At 46.4% G+C, this 17,219-nt stretch overlaps 2 annotated features.

Annotated features, from left to right (window-relative positions):
• Positions 8,238-8,778: an enhancer, noted in NCBI's record as "H3K4me1 hESC enhancer chr5:175023214-175023754 (GRCh37/hg19 assembly coordinates)". NCBI's record gives its function as "activates a minimal SCP1, AML or CMV promoter by ChIP-STARR-seq in primed H9 embryonic stem cells {active_cell/tissue: H9 hESC(primed)}" and the evidence as "EXISTENCE:reporter gene assay evidence [ECO:0000049][PMID:30033119]".
• Positions 16,193-16,487: a silencer, noted in NCBI's record as "tiled region #8396; K562 Repressive non-DNase unmatched - State 22:ReprW". NCBI's record gives its function as "represses a minimal TATA promoter and a strong SV40 promoter by Sharpr-MPRA in K562 cells {active_cell/tissue: K562}" and the evidence as "EXISTENCE:reporter gene assay evidence [ECO:0000049][PMID:27701403]".

Consider the following 17,219-nt stretch of genomic DNA (forward strand, 5'->3'; position numbering starts at 1 on the left):
ACACAGCATGGCATATAATTGGAACTCAGTACAATTTTTTGTTACTTTGAATGTGGTGTCATCCGTTGAAGATAATCTGGATCACAACCCTCAAACTTTCTCTAATGTATCATTCTGTATTCATTTTAAAGTCCAGGGCGAGCTGAGTGACAAATTACAGAGATTTTTCCCAAATGCCTTTCAAGTCACACAGCCAAATCAGTTCAGCAAATTATATGTAATCAACGAGGAAATCAATAAGGACTGCAAGTGCATTAAAGAGTTTAGCAGATTCATTATGTATTTAGCACATTCCGTCCAATTTGCAGGAAGTTCAGAGAAAAACAGGCTTTAGCATGTAAACAGTGCTTCTGATTGACTCTTTGGAGAAGCAGCAGCAGTGGCACAGCCTTCTGAGGTGAAGGCAGATCAGGAGAACAGGCCGCCTCCCACCCCTCTAGCCCAGACAGCCCATGCCAATTCCATAAGGCAGGGGTTTCATCTCCAAAGGCAATGACAGCAATCTCAAAGGCTCTTTCTGCTTGGAAATTCTACAGCAGAGGATATATGGGAGGAGAGGGAGGGAAGAAGGAAGGAGGAAGTGGGGGAGAAAGGAAGGGAGGGAGGGAGAGGGAAGGAGAGTAGGGAAGAAGAGAGAAAGGAAGGGAGGAAGAAAGGAAGGGAGGAATGAAGGAGAGAGGGAGGGAAGAAGGAAGGGACAGATAGGGAGGGAAGTGGGAGGGGAGGAGAAAAGGAGGAGGGAAGAAGGAAGGAAGAAGGGAGGGAGGAGGGAAGGAAGTAGGGAGGGAGGAAGAAAGAAAGGGGGGGGGAAGAAGAAAGAGAGGGAGGGAGGGGGAAGGAAAATAGGGAGGAAGGGAGGGAGGAAAGAAAGAGGGAGGGAAGAAGGAAAGGAGAAAGGAAGAAAGAAGAAAGGCAGGAAGGAAGGAGGGAGGGAAGAAGGAATGGAGAAAAGGAAGACAGAAAGGAGGTAGGGAGGGTAGGAGGCAGCAAGGAAGGAGGGAAGGAGGGAGAAAGAAAGGAAAGAGGAAGGAAAGGACGGAAGGAGGAAGGGAGAGCAGGAGGAAAGAAGGGTGAGAGGGAGGGAGGAATAACTCCTCAGGATCTTTCCTTTCCCTCCATTTCTAAGCCGCCTCCTGTCTCTGTAAAGTGATCATTTACAAATTCATTCGGCAGACCTTGACTGAGCCCTTGTTCTCTCTGTGCCAGGTCACTTGCCAAGTTCTGGGGCATGAGCCAAATCAGACCTGGACCTGCCTTCAAGTAGCTCACAGCCTGGTGGGGGGTGACAGACTCAGCCACGGCATAGCCTCAACCCAAGTGGAGGCTCTGACAGCCCCTGCTTGAGGTGGAAGAAGAAGGGACATTTGAGGAGGGCCCTGAGGACTGATGCGGGGTTGCTAAAGGTGACATCTCACAGGGAGACAAACATCCTCAAAGACACAGAGACAAAGTATGTTTGGGGAATGACAAGTAAATTGATGTCATCGGAGTGTTAAGTCCAGTGGGAGGACTGCACAGGGCAGTGTTTCTGGCAGACAAGTTTGCGGGGGGTGGGGGGGTGTCTCAGGTTCAATTCCCTTTTATTACAGACTCAATCAATGCAGCCCCTAGAAAAGTGATTTGCCCACAGGCACCCAGCACCTGAAAGAGGCTGAATGTGACCTCTGGCCATCAGCCCCAGTCCTTCATGAATTCCCCTCCACAACAGGTGCCTCAGTTACCTCTGGCCATAAATCTTCCTACGCTCCAATTCCTGAATTGAGTTGAGAAGTGGCACCACTTTGGGAAACTAATTGGGGAAGTCATTATAATTCCCTTTTATTGACTTGGAATAAACAACATCGAAGACTAATTCACGCTGGCAAGGATGTAGCCTGCACACCTGCACTCATTTTCCGCTCCTGTGGCAGACATCACTAATCAATCCCAGCATTCTTCCCCACTGATTTCTTAACCCACTCCAGGCAGCCAATTAAAAAAGACAGTCACTTAGCCAAAAGCCACATGCCTTCTCCACACAAGCATTCAAATCTGCAGGCTGTTACCATGGGTCAAGCTGTGAAATAAGGGAAAAAGAGCAAGTGTCCAGCTCAAATTATAAGAAGCTAAAGAGGATCCCAAACAGTCGCCGAGTGCTAAACAGACAGCAGTGATGCACTATTTAGCATCAGACACAAGCTTCTGATTTCGTAGTTGCTGCTTGCATTAGGCCTTCTATCACTCCTTCAGCAACAGAAAACCAACTCTAATTAACTTTAGCAGAAAAAGAATCTGCTGGCACATTACGTCTGGGGAAGACCTGGCTTTGGGGTCTGACTGCATCCAGGGACTCACTGGGTGTCATCTGGACTTTTCCTTGATCTCTTTCCTCTCAAGCCTGCTTTCCCCTACACTGGCTTCCTTCCCAGGCAGAATTTCCCTTCGTGGAGAGAAGCTGGCCCCCAGCTTGCAGCCCCACATCTCCCAGCCAAGGGGGAGAATGCCTCTCTTCCCGGTGGTTTCAACCAAAGGCCTGGTCCTGGCTCTCATTGTCCTCATCTGACTCATGGAGGGACCCAAGCCACAGGCACTTCGTGTGGGAAAAGGGCTCCTCCCAGGAAAGGGGAAGTGATAATACCAGAGGAGAGGAAATACCATAGACACCAATAGTGTTTTGATGACATAAAACAGCTAACATCCATTACACTAATGACTGCCCACTTTATAGGGTAAGGAAACCGGAATGAAAGAGTAAAGCAGCTTGACCAGGGTGGAGTGAGGAATGGAGCATGGTGTGACTCATTCTCTTCTCTCTATGCTTGCTGTTCCCCCACCCCCACCTAAGTGAAAGAGAGTTAAGAGAAAGGCCCTCCCTGCAGCCCAGGGTTAGTCTTGCATGCAGAAGACACCCTGGCGGTAGTTTTCTCCAAACTGCCTATGGTACCAGAACCCGGCACGGCCTAGCAGCCTCTGCATGAAAGGTCTTCTACTGCTTCCCCACCTTCTTTAGAGGGCCAAGAGGAGCAGGTCCCTGGCCTGTGCTCCTAACTGCAGGGCTGACATGACACAGCCACTCCCAAGCCCTGGTGTACAGCAGGATCACCCAGGGAGTCTGCTGAGATGCAAAGTCCTTGGGCCCCTGCTGAAAGTTTGGTTCTGTAGCTTTGGAATGGGCCCTAGGAGTTGACTGTTTAAACAGGCTCCCTGGGCAGTGTGGATGCAGGTGGCCTCCAGAGCACACTTAGGTGCTCAGGAAGGGACGGCTCAAGGCTTCTGGTGGCTGACTCTGTCTTCCTAGAGTCCTGAAGGTGCCAATGCAGATTAATGATAACCTGTAATAGATAGCCCAATATGGAGAGCTGCTCTGTGATCCCCCTCACCGCCTCACCAGTGGCCAGCACTGATGGAGCCAGGAGGGGTTAGCAACCTGAGGTCAGCTCTTCTGAAAGCAGGTGATCTGGGCACATCAGAGACTCCCTTAAAAAGGCTGAGCCAGGCATGGTGATGCATGCCTGTAATCCCAGCCGCTCCTGGGGCTATGTCAAGAGGATCACCGAGCCCAGGAGTTCCAGGCTGCTGTGAGCCGTGATTACATCACTATGCTCCAGCCTGGGAGGCAGAGTGAGACTCTGTCTAAAAATAATAATAATAATAATAATAATAATAATAATAATAATAATAATGAAAGAATTTTTTTAAAAAAGGGGCTGGAGTGAGGGTAATGGACTAGACATCCACAGGGTTCCTGCAGACAACCTGAGGGAGTGGAGAGGATGGAGAGCAAGGCCCCACCTAAAGGGACAACTACTGAGTTTCAGCCAAAAACTGCCATGTGGAATGTGGGGTTGTCAGGTCTGAGTTTTCCAGAGCAGCCAGAAATCTACACTTATTTTTATGTAGTCTCATAACATTTAAGTGTCTAATGTTTTTAAAAATTCAAAATTGTCAAGGCCAATCACAATATATCTGCAGGCTGGCTGGATTCAAACCACAGTCTGGGGTTTCAGTGGAGTCTCATTCCCCAGCCTCTTTGACAGTTAGGTATAGCCATGCCACCAAGTTCTGGCCGGTAGAAGTGTTACATGGGACTACCTGGAAGTCTTCTTCTTCAAAGGAGGAAGTATGTCCTTCTTTCCTTCCTCCTTCCTGACGCCTGGAATACAAACATGATGACGGAAGCTTCGGCAATTATATGAGATATTGAGGTGACTTTGAGAATGGAAGTGTGCTGAGGATGAGAGTGGAAGAACAGGAGGAATCCGAGTCCCTTACGATGTTGAGATTCTGACTTCAGTAATTCTTTTATTTATTTATTTGTTTTGAGATGGACTCTCGCTCTGTCACCCAGGCTGGAGTGCAGTGGTGCCATCTCAGCTCACTGCAACCTCCATCTCCCAGGTTCAAGCTATTCTCCTGCCTCAGCCTCCCCAGTAGCTGGGACTACAGGCGCCCACCACCATGCCTGGCTAATTTTTGTACTTTTAGTAGAGACGGAGTTTCGCCAGGTTGGCCAGGCTGGTCTCAAACTCCTGACCTCAGGTGATCTGCCCACCTCAGTCTCCCAAAGTGCTGGGATTACAGGTGTGAGCCACTGCTCCCGGCCCCTTTATATGAGAGAAAGAAATTTCCATTTATTTTTGTTATACGTAGCCAAACTTAATTGCATGCCCCATTCCCAGTTTAAATGGAGCCTGGCCATTCTGCCTACCCTCGAGTTCCGAAAGAGGACCCTTGATCTTTTCAGCAAAACTCCCTTTACCTGGACTTGGACAATGCTCACAAACCAAGCATTCTCTAAGATTTTTCTCTTTCTCCACTCATCACAGAGCACACTAGCCACCATTTTCAAATTAAACAACTGCTAGAGAATCATTTTTAAAACGGAAGCTCATGACTGTGACACAAATATAAAATGAATACATGTCCAAAATCATATTTAGCTCATTAATAATGAGAGAACCAATAACCAATAAGTATAACAGGTTCAAAGGAGAATCTAAGGAACAGACCCTTGAATAAGCAATCAGGAATGTTGAAATGAAGTTGTTAGCAAATGCAGGTCTGACCTTCCACAGGGCAGAAATCAATTGAGTCTCCACAGCAAAGTTCATTCGTGTCACTATGGACAGAGTCATTTGCTTCAATGTCAGTTTTCTACAACTTGCAGAGTTGTAACTAACTCAATCAAAGACCATGAAAAGCACCGACTCCTATAGAATCAAATAATCCTGAAGAGTCTACAAGACAACATTATTATTATTTTTGTTTTTTTGAGACAGAGTCTCACTTTGTCGCCAGGCTGGAGTGCAGTGGCGTGATCTCGGCTCACTGCAACCTCCACCTCCCGGGTCAAGTGATTCTCCTGCCTCAGCCTCCCGAGTAGCTGGGATTACAGGCATGAGTCACCAAGCCCAGCTAATTTTTGTATTTTCAGTAGAGACGGGGTTTCACCATGTTAGCCAAGATGGTCTCGATCTCCTGACCTTGTGATTCACCTGCCTCAGCCTCCCAAAGTGCTGGGATTACAGGTGTGAGCCACCACGCCCGGCCTGACAACATTATTTCTAAACCCAACAATTCTTCACTATTCTCTGAACATCCCTGGCTACTGAAGGATAGGAGTGTCTCATGTTCCCAGGGACATTCATCCACAACTCCCGCACAATTGCCCCTGACTTTCCTGTCTCAAAAAGTACCCAGAGCCGGGTGCAGTGGTTCATGTCTGTAATGCCAGCACTTTGGGAGGCTGGGGGGGAGGGGGCGGATCACCTGAGGTCAGGAGTTTGAGAGCAGCCTGGCCAACATGGTGAAACCCTGTCTCAAAAAAAAAAAAAAAAGTACCCAGAAAAGTTTTTCCAACTGAACTGGAGTTTGAAGGAGGATTAGGAGCTCTCCAGGCAAAGACTGTTCTAGACTAGTGGCAGCACTTACTGGAATCACCTGAGGAGCTGCTAAAAATATGCAGGCCCAGCCTTGCCCTGAATTTACTGAATATGCTGCATTTGCAGTACAGACACAGTGTTTTTACTGAGATTGCATGTGGTGTGACAAGACTGTGGGTGGCTGATGGAGATGTGGGAGCAGATACTTAAGATGCCCTCCACCCACTCCCCTCCACCTACTCCCCACCCTCTTCCAGCCACCCCTTGGCACCATCACTGCTGGTTCATAGTCCCATACATTTAGTTTGCAAAAACACCCCTGGTGATTCTGCTATTTGGATCCCACTTCTGCCACCCCACCCCACCCCACCTCCAGATACCTCTCAATTTCTCTGTTCCCCTTGGCAGGCATGTTCCTGCTGACCATGCTTGTGGCTTCCGATTCTCCCATTCACTTTAAACCCAGTTCAGTCAGGCTTTTCCCCCAACTCCACACCAAAGCTGTTCTTGTCAAAGTCACCAATGACTCCACATCAACAGATCCCAGGTGGGGGCCCAGTTCTCCTCTTGCAAAGCCCTCAGCTGTGTTGAGCATCACCCCTACCTCCTAAAAACACTGCCCTTCCTGGCTCCATACCCTGCTCTCCTGGTCCCTCCTAGCCCTCTGATCTCTCCTCTCAGCCTCTTTTGCTCTAAGGATTTTCTTTCCTTCTCTCTAAATGTTCTTGTGCCTCGGGGCTCAGTCCTTGGTGACTTCTTCTCTGCCAACACTCTCTTCCCTAGAGCTCCCAGCCAGATTTGAGGCTTTAAATGTCATCTGTCTGACAACTCTCGAGTTGACGTCTTCAGAGCACTTTTCTGAACTCCCGCTTCAAGTCTAACTTCCTACTTACCATCTCTCCTTGGTCATCTGATAGACAAACTTAAGATGTCTAAACCTAACTCAGATCTTCCCTCGAAACACTGTTCCACCCACAACCTTCCCTGTCTCCATTTCTAGCGACCCCCTTCTTCCACCAACTCAGATGAGACCTTGGTATATCATCTCTGACTTCCCATTTCCTTTCTTATATTTTCCTTCTTCTTTTTTTTTTTTTTTTTTCCAAGATGGAGTCTCACTCTGTTGCCCAGTCTGGAGTGCAGTGGTGCGATCTCGGCTCACTGCAACCTCCACCTCCCAGGTTTAAGGGATTCTCCTGCCTCAGTCTCCTGAGTAGCTGGGACTACAGGCGTGTGCCACCATGCTCGGCTAATTTCTGTATTTTTAGTAGACATGGGGTTTCACCATGTTGGCCAGGCTGGTCTCAAACTCCTAACCTTGTGATCCACCTGCCTCAGCCTCCCAAAGTGCTGGGATTACAGGTGTGAGCCACCATGCCCGGCCATATTTTCCTTCTTTTTTCTTTTTTTTTTTCTTGTTTAAAATTAAGGTGGAGTTGACAAATAAAAATTGTATATATTTATGGCGTACAATAAAATGTTTTGATATCTGTATCATCATAAAATGGTTAAATCAATCTAATTAACATTTCCATCACCTCACCTACTTATTATTTTTTGTTGTGAGAATAAGAGCTACTCTCCTAGCAATTTTCAAGTCCACAAGACTTTATATTATTAATTTTAGTTGCAATATTGTACACTATAGCTCCAGAACTTAATTGTCCTGTCTGACCGAATCTCAGGTCATTTCCCCCCTTCCTTTCCCACTCTACATCCACTCTGCCAGGAAACCTCATTGCCTCTGCTGAACCATATCATGTAACCTGCGACTCTTCACCTTGGTTCAAGCTGCCATCTTCTCTGGCTTGGACTCTACAGCCTGAGAGGCCCCCACCTACCACCACCCTCACCAAAGCCTTTTCTCAACACTGCACCCACTGCAAGCCTTTTCAAATATCAGTCTGATCGATGTCATTTTTCTGCTCAAAAAACTCCCAGTAACTCTCATTCCACTCAGACGAAAGTCTCGGTTCTAAGTAGAGGTCTACCAGGCCTGCAAGGTCCAGCCCTGTTCTCATCCTGACCTCCCCTTCAAGTCAGACTCCCCTTGCTCACTATGCCTGGTCTGCCAGCCACCTGGCTGCTACGCCAGCAAGCAAGGCGGGTGTTCTAGGAGAGCCTTTGCTCTGGCCCTATGTCTGCTCCTGCTGGGGACGCCCTTCCCCAGATGTCTGCTGGCCGATGCATCCCCTCCTTCAAGTCTTCACTCACATGTCTCTGTCCCCACTCATTCTATTTAATGACAAAACCACGCAGCCACACCTGCCCACTTGCCACTCCTGATCCTCCCACGTGGCCCTTTCCTCTTCTTTTTCCCATAGTCTTATCATCTCCTAACACACTGTGTCATGTACTGAGGTACTGTATTTTGGGGTTTATTTTTGCATGTGCTCTGTATTTCCCAGCTAGACTATAAGCTCCACGAGGCAGGGATCTTGATTCATTTTGTTCATAGATTTATCCCAAACACCAACAACAGTCTTTAGCACATAGTAGTTGCTCAATAAATAGTCACCACTGTCGAACTGCTCAGCATCGGGCACTGGGCCGGCCACCCCACACAGTAAGCTCACTTAAATGAACAATCCTGTGTGGAGCCAGCATCAGGACCACCCGGGGGCTTGTGAAATACAGATATCTGGGCACCATCTCTGAGGTTCTGGGTCAGTAGGTCTGGGGTGGGGCCAAGAATTTGCTTTTCTAACAGGTTCTCAGGTGCTGCTGCTGCAGCTGGTCTGGGGGTCTTATTTTGAGACCCCCTGGTGTAGGTCGTGGAAAGCCACCAAAAGGCTGTGACCAGGAGAGCCAGAGTCCCATTTCCCCTGGAGAAGGCCATGTGCAGGCTGGGTGGGAGGGGAGGTACTCCAGCAGGGGCGAGGCCTCCGCAGCCCAGGGAGGGGAGCAGAGGGTGGTGGAGGTCGTGGGGGGAAGAGCAACTCAGGGGCAGCCTAGCCGGGTCCTCTCAGGCCCCCTCCCTGGCCCCACAGCTGCGGCCCTCACTTCAAGCCCATTAGCACATCTCCTCCAGAAGACGCAGGCCTCCTGGCTCCTCACTCATTTGAAATTTTAATTATCTGCCAGAGCACGATTCCCACAGCCACCCCCACTAGGGGTGGGTGTGAAAGAAGCTAAATAGCTCCAAAATGCATGACTTCAGCAAAAACGGAATAACAGTCTCGCCTCAGAGGCTCCAGCAGTGCCTGGGAGCACGGTGATGAATATGAAGGTGATCCCTCACCCCTGGCCTGCCGGCAGTGGAGGGGGAATCACCTTCTCAGTGTCTTGGACAAGACCTGGGACTCAGGTTCCTCAATTGTCAAATCGGTGAAGTACTCAGCAGTGCCTGCTCCCCCGGGGCCTGGGACGCTGGGGATTCCCACATGAGCCTTTCTTTCTGGGATGGAAGGGACAGGACTTATCTACCCTGTCGGCATGTGATGTGTAGGCTGCCAGTCTTCATTTTAATAGTCACGTGCTTACTGGAAAGTAAATGGGAAAAATATACAAATAGCAGATCCAATCTGTGCTGTTATGGGGAATTATTTCTTAGAGCAAAGCTAAACTTAAATTTTTAAAAAGTGAGCTGATCTCAAGAAAATATGAAACAATGTGTACCCAGCAATTGCATAATGCTTACCATAGACTGGGCATTCTTCACAGATTAATTCATTAAAGCCGGATAGCAACCCAATAAGGTAGGTGCCATTATTACACCCATTTCCCAGATGCAGAAGCAGAGGTACAACATGATTGAGTCATTTTCCCATGGCCATGCAGGAGGCAGCAGAGGGAGGATTTGAACCCAGGCAACTTCCATCTAGAATCTGTGCTCTGAACAGCCTTCTCATGGCATTGGCAGGACATGGCAAATACTACATGATGGGACTCCACACACTGACATTTGGGAAGCACCGAGCAGGGCATCCTTCCTGCCTCAGCCATTACAAGACCCCAAAATGCACCAGAGTGATGAGGCAGGGGCGTGACATAGGAGCTGTCTGGATCCTTCCAACCACGGAGCCTCCCCAGAGCTCAGAGGCGGAAGCAGTGGCTGGGCCTGCCTTGTGCAAACATGAAGTGCTCATGCTGTCTGCACTGAATGCCCTCAATGACTGCTGGTAAGCAGGGAGGAACGCGGTGAGCCTGTCACCCTGGAGTGCTGCAGGGGAGCAGGAGAGACCAAGGCAGAGGGGCCAGTGAAGAGACAGGTCTTTAGGACGGATGCTGTGGCTGCAGGACAACACTTCAGTCACAGAGCCCCAATGTCATCAGGATCCTCTGGATACATGGCTCTCAGCTCCTTACACACAATGCAAGCAATATATATCATCATTTTTTTTTGTAATCATTATTTTGTGATCAATATTTTTGTAATCAATATTTGAAAGCAAATCAGAAAAAATGCATTTCTAGTGTATCCAATCTGTGCTGTTAAAAAAATATATTTCTGAGGGGGAAGTTAAATTTAAGTTTTTAAAAAATATTCCCTTTGGCCGGGCACAGTGGCTCGTACCTGTAATCCCAGCACTTTGGGAGGCCGAGGCGGGCAGATCACCTGAGGTCAGGAGTTCGAGACCAGCCTGGCCAACATGGTGAAACCACGTCTCTGCTAAAAATACAAAACATAGCTGGTGGCAGGCGCCTGTAATCCCAGCTACGCAGGAAGCTGAGGCAGGAGAATCTCTTGAACCCACGAGGCGGAGGTTGCAGTGAGCTGAGATCACGCCACTGCACTCCACCTGGGTGACAGAGCAAAACTCCATCTCAAAAAACAAAAAAGTGTTCCCTTTACTATCCTGAAATTTTAGATAACATAACCTACCTACACCCATGATGTGGAGATATATATAATAACACACACAAAAATATACATACACGTACAAAAGAAAATACTTAAAAATCCGTAATGCAATAATGCATATTTCAATGCGTAAGTGCTCAAGCATCACTATATAGAAGACACAGTGAAGTAGTCAGATGCTGGTTCCTATTTATAGTGTATACATTTGGATGTAAGAGGACAAGGTGCTGAAATGCCTTATAGAAGGTGTAAGAAGTACAGAGACATGAAGGGGCAGAGGCAGGGTAGACCTCAGATTAAAAGCCAGTGTTAGGGTGGGTATAAATAGACTAGGCTGACTGACATGTGATAAGGAAAGGGTGATAACCTTCATTGGAGTTTGGTGAACATGCCAAGACTAACGGAGAAAATCAGGACGCGTGACATTCTCGCAAAGTAGGTGGGCCTTATTTATAAGCGTAGTGTCAAAATAATTCCCCGTGTTGTGACAAAGGACAGGGTAGTGACGAAGTATCCCAGCAAACATAACTTCTGTCTTGAAATTTTAGTATACGCCGAGGCATTCACTCAGTCTCAAGACCTGGGAATCTGTATCCTTAGAGAGGAGTGTTAAATTTTAAGTTTAGCCCGAAGCTGCCTCCTTACATATTTTAAGCTCTGCCTAAAGGTTTCTCTATAAGTAGTGAACTGTAGCCTAACTGGATGTGTGAACAGACATAACCTACTCTTGTAAGAAGTAGCCAAGTCTCAGCCAATCCCAGAAGCCAGACTTAACCACTCATAGGCAGCCAACTGTTCAAACCGTGTTCAAATAAGGCAAACGCCCAGCTCTCATCAATCCGGCTGTTTCTGTACCTCACTTCTGTTTTCCGTATGTCATTTTCCTTTTTCTGTCTATAAATTTTTTCCTACCACGCAGCAGTGCTGGAGTACCTCTGAACTATTCTGGCTAGGGGGCTGCCCGATTCACCACTTGTTCTTTGCTCAATTAAACGCTGCTACATTTAATTTGTCTAAAGTTTTGTAAGGTATGGTTTGGAAAAGGAAAAGGAATAACACTAAAGACGTAAGAAAACCTTTGTGGTCAACTGAAAACCTTATCAGATTAAAAAGATAAACCGGCCACGGTGGCTCATGCCTGTAATCCCAGCACTTTGGGAGGCTGAGGTGGGCAGATCACCTGAGGTCAGGAGTTCCAGACCAGCCTGGCCAACTTGGTGAAACCCCCGTCTCTACTAAAAATACAAAAATTAGCTAGGCGTGGCGGCAGGAGCCTGTAATCCCAGCTACTCAGGAGGCTGAGGCGGGAGAATCACTTGAATCCAGGAGGTGGAGGTTGCAGTGAGCCGAGATTGTGCCATTGCACTCCAGCCTGTACTACAAGAGTGAAACTCTGTCTCAAAAATAAATTAAAAAATAAAAAAATAAAAAGGAAAAGGAAAAATTTCAGGCAATCCCAAAATAAATCATTTTAATGTGCAATTTCTAGAACATAGATTTCTTATCACTATGCTATAAGAAAATTAAAATTGTATTGAATAGCAATCATTTTAAATATTTTTGAAATCTTTATTCCATGAACCTTAATGAGATTTCTGCATTTCATGTATTTCCACTAACTTAGAACAATTCAGCTCTAAGTCTGTTGTAAGAAATATCAGGCTGGACATGGTGGCTTATGCCTGTAAACCCAGCACTTTGGGAGGCTGAGGTGGGCGGATCTCCTGAGGTTGGGAGTTCGAGACTAGCTTGGCCAACATGGTAGAACCCATCTCTACTAAAAATACAAAAATTAGGCAGGCATGGTGGCGCATACCTGTAATCCCAGCTACTCAGGAGGCTGAGGCAGGAGAATCACTTGAACCCAGGAGGCGGAGGTTGCAGTGAGCCAAGACTGTGCCATTGCACTCCAGCCTAGGCAACAAGAACGGAACTCTGTCTCAAATAAAAAAAAAAAGAAAAAAGAAATATCAAATCTCCTTTGCTACCAATATTCAATGACTGTTTTTGTAGTAACTATACTGTTAGCTGGAAACCCTTTTCAACTAAACACGAGATAGGAAACACTATGGTCTACGATGAATTAGACGCACACAAAAGAGAAATTGTTCAATCATCTCAAGACAGTATTTTCCTTCCATTCAAGCCTCTCCTTCTGTAAGAAACTTCTCCTGAGTTACTGAGATTTTACATATCATTTTGTGAAAGCTTTTGCCTATTAAATATTGGAGTATTATTGATCTATGTTTGTACTGTTTAGCCTGGTGGGACATTATAATGTCTGGGAGGATTTGGACAATTCTTCCTCATGCCTCATTGTGCAGTACTGTTGTGCCCATGGCGGAACCCAAGCATCCTTGTCCCTCTCCCCCAAATGCTGAAAGCATTCACAATCCTCTTGGCAACGAAAACGCTGCCCCAATTAGCCGGGCGTGGTGGCGTGTGCCTGTAACCCCAGCTACTCAGGAGGCTGAGGCAGGAGAATTGCTTGAACTCGGGAGGTGGCGATTGCAGTGAGCTGAGATCGGGCAGCTGCACTCCAGCCTGGGTGACAGAGAAAGACTCGGTCTCAAAATAACAACAACAACAACGAAAAACACTGCCCCTCGTTTCCAAAATGCCCCCAAGGAAATGGTATTGTAATGGGACCAGAACAGGAAAAGCGAGGATTTGTGGGGCGGAAAGCAGTTTTAATCAGAGGGCCAGCAAACCAAGAAGATGGTGAACTAGCGTTCTAAAGTACTATTTTATTTTATTTTATTTTATTTTATTTTATTTTATTTTATTTTAATTTTTGAGATGGGGTCTCGCTCTGTTGCCCAGGCTGGAGTGCAGCAGCATTATCTTGGTTCACTGCAACCTCCATCTCTTGGGTTCAAGCGATTCTCCTGCCTCAGCCTCCTGAGTAGCTGGGATTATAGGCACCCGCCACCATGCCCGGCTAATTTTTGTATTTTTAGTAGAGACAGGGTTTCGCCATGTTGGCCAGACTGGTCTCGAACTCCTGACCTCAGGTGATCCACCCGCCTCAGCCTCCTGAAGTGCTGGGATTACAGGAGTGAGCCACCGCGCCCAGTCTAAAGTACTATTTTAAATTTTAAAATTTACCATAGGGTTTTTTTTTTTTTTTTGAGATGAAGTTTCACTCCTTGCCCAGGCTGGAGTGCAATGGCGTGATCTTGGCTCACCTCAACCTCCGCCTCCTGGGTTCAAACGATTCTCCTGCCTCAGCCTCCCAAGTAGCTGGGATTACAGGCATGCGCCACCACGCCCGGCTAATTTTGTATTTTTAGTAGAGACGGGGTTTCTCCATGTTGGTCAGGCTGGTCTCAAACTCCTGACCTCAGGTGATCCACCTGCCTCAGCCTCTCAAAGTGCTGGGATTACAGGCGTGAGCCACCATGCCTGGCTACCATAGGGTTTTTAAAGGGAAACTTGGTATGGGAGACATGTGGGAGTGGTGCAGGGTGTGGGGTCTGTGGTGTGACTTGTTCCCTTGTCTGTCCGGGTTGGAGCTATCTTGACTTAAGTAAGGGCATAATTACATAAACATGCATTGCCTAGACAGGGGAGGTAAGAGGGGAGGAAAGGAAGAAAAACAAAATGGGTAATTTTTTAAACTGAGGTCCCCAATTAGAGTATCATGCAAATAAGAACCCCAGGTCTACACAGTAAAGGAAAACTCAGGTTGGGCTGCCCTGCCCTGCTGTTTTGGCCAGTCCCTACCATGCGCCAGGTTCTCAGGAAAGCCTCCCAGGAGACCAGTAAAGCCAGCTGTATTGTTCTCATTTCACACTTAAAGAAGCTGAGGTACAGAGGGATGAAGTGACTTGCCAAGGCACTGACTCCAGTGTCTTCATTTGTAAAGTGGCTTGGAGCAAGCATGCAATGCATATTTATTGAACGAATTAATAAAGAAATGGAGAGACTGTCAGAATTGTCTAGCACCCAGTCTAGTGTGTTTCTGGAATGTGCAAAATCAAAACTGTAAAAAGAAAATAAAATTTTTGGCTGGGCACGGTGGCTCACGCTTGCAATCCCAGCACTTTGGGAGGCCGAGGCGGGCGGATCACGAGGTCAGGAGATCGAGACCACAGTGAAACCCCATCTCTACTAAAAATACAAAAAATTAGCCGGGCGTGGTGGCGGGTGCCTGTAGTCCCAGCTACTTGGAGAGGCTGAGGCAGGAGAATGGCGTGAACCTAGGACACAGAGCTTGCAGTAAGCCGAGATCGTGCCACTGCACTCCAGCCTCGGTGACAGAGCAATACTCCATCTCAAAAAAAAATACAATAAAATAAAATAAAAATCAAATCAAATCTCAGGGCTTCCAAATGTATTGTGGCCAGGGGAAAAGTTAAGCCTTGTAAACTGAGTCACATAACACCGGCTGTTTTTGGACACTTGCTTCCTGACCTTTGTGTTGAAATGTTAAATATTAACCAGATCCCTTATTCTTTATTCAAACCTAGAATAAATGACTTTGGAATCAGAGATCCTGGTGATTGTTACCTTTTTACAAGTGAATATTAAGCAACCCCCTTAGAGTGTAATCAATGGTCGCCAAACAAATCTTGTATCTGTATGTTAGCCTTTGTATGGAAAACCTTGTAATACAGTTTAGCGCCTCCATTTTTGCCTACATAATATAGACCATCCTCACCTTTCCCCACACTGTTCTTGAATAAACTCTTTCAACTAGATTTGAGCTTTTTGATTTGCTTTTGATTGACAAAATAAATATGTAGAATCTGACATATCATAGAATAAGAATTCTTGGCCAGGTGCAGTGGCTCATGCCTATAATTCCAGCACTTTGGGAGGCCAAGACAGGCAGATCACTTGAGGTCAAGAGTTCGAGACCAGCCTGGGCAACATGGTTGAAACCCCGTCTCTACTAAAAATAAAGAAATTAGCCTGGCATGGTGGCACACATCTGTAATCCCAGCTACTCAGGAGGCTGAGACAGAAGAATCACTTGAACCCGGGAGGTGGAGGTTGTAATGAGCCGAGATCACACTACTGCCCTCCAGCCTGGGTGACAGAGTAAGAATTCTGTCTCAAGAAAAAAAAAAAAAAAAAGAATTCCTACTTCCCATAAGGGCTAAAGGAAATAAGACCCATGTTTCTAAAGTACCTGGTACATAATAACTCCTTTTCCTCCCTACATTCTTTACCCCACCTTCACTCTCCAAGGTCAAGGTAAGTATTCACCTTAATAAAAACAAGCCAGTATTCTATAACAGCATTTTAGATTGCAAAAGCATTTTTCTATATATTATCTCACTTGGTCTTCATTTATTCAAAGAGTTGGTTCCAAGCATCCACTAGGCACCAGAGACACCAGCCAGGGAGAAAGACAGATCTCATTCTTAGCCCCTCTTGGATCCCCACACTTCCTCCCTCCACCCTTCAAGATGGAATTCTGCTTCATTAGCATTGGAAGCAAGTCTTTGGCTAAACCCTGCCCTGTGCAATCTGGCTTTGTGTTAAAGATTACACTCTAACCAGATCTGCAGCCTCTGGTGAACCTATTTCTCTTCCAAGTGAGGATTTGGCTTTTAAAGGAGCTATCCCCCCGCACCCTCACCAACACCTAAAAATACCTTGGAGATATGTCTTGCATGTCAGGAACAGGTTTATTCTGGGAACACCAGCTCCCCACTCTGGCTGGCTCAGTCCCGGGGTCCCATATACTAAGAGAGAATCCAGCACTCACAATAGGATCTTAGTAAATACTCATTATTGGAACAAAGGAGGGAAAGAAGGCAGAAAGAACTTTTCGAGTTGGGTCATCCTTTCTCCTTATGTTTGTAGTGAGCTGTGAAATACGTGAATTTCACATGTATGACTTTGCTGCCCTCCAAGAGCCACCAGAGCTAAACTTTTAATTATAGCCATTGTGTTTTAGATGAAGGAGCTTTAAAACATTCTTTGCAGGGAGTGCAATGAATAAACCCTTAAGAAATGCAAAAGTTTTCAGCCTCTTGAGGAATTAACTCTTAGAAGCCATTTACTTTAAAGGGAGAGAAAGCCCTAATAAATTAAGGAAGCTAGACCAGATCATCAATGTCTGTTCCCATCAGTAAAAGATACAGTCTTGCAAAAGAAAGAGGAAGAAAAAAATCAATCCCCATATTGATTAATGCATCTGGATCCAGCTAGCAATGTACAGAAAATGCAGAGGACAGAGGAACGTGGTAACCAACACCAGGGGGATGCAGTCAGCAACATTCAGCTAAAATTCAGGGGATATTCCAAAAGACAGATGTGCACATTTTTTTGTATTGCTTTTAAAACTTGAGAGAGATAGAGGGGAAACCTGAAAAGAGGTCTAAGAGAGCACATCAACCAATTGTTATGTGTGGATCTCATATGGATCTCACTAGAGCATACATTTTTCAAGGTGGTGGGGGGCCATTGTCACCAGTGGAGCAAAAATTGCTTCTTGGATGATGGAAAAATCTTAGCTATTATAATGGTTTGTGGCTCTCCAAAGGGCTGCAGAACCTAAAGAAATATAGCGTATATCTGTGCTATTAAAATTTCATTAG

This window comes from Homo sapiens, chromosome 5 (genome assembly GCF_000001405.40).
Source record: "Homo sapiens chromosome 5, GRCh38.p14 Primary Assembly".
NCBI classification, from domain to species: domain Eukaryota; kingdom Metazoa; phylum Chordata; class Mammalia; order Primates; family Hominidae; genus Homo; species Homo sapiens.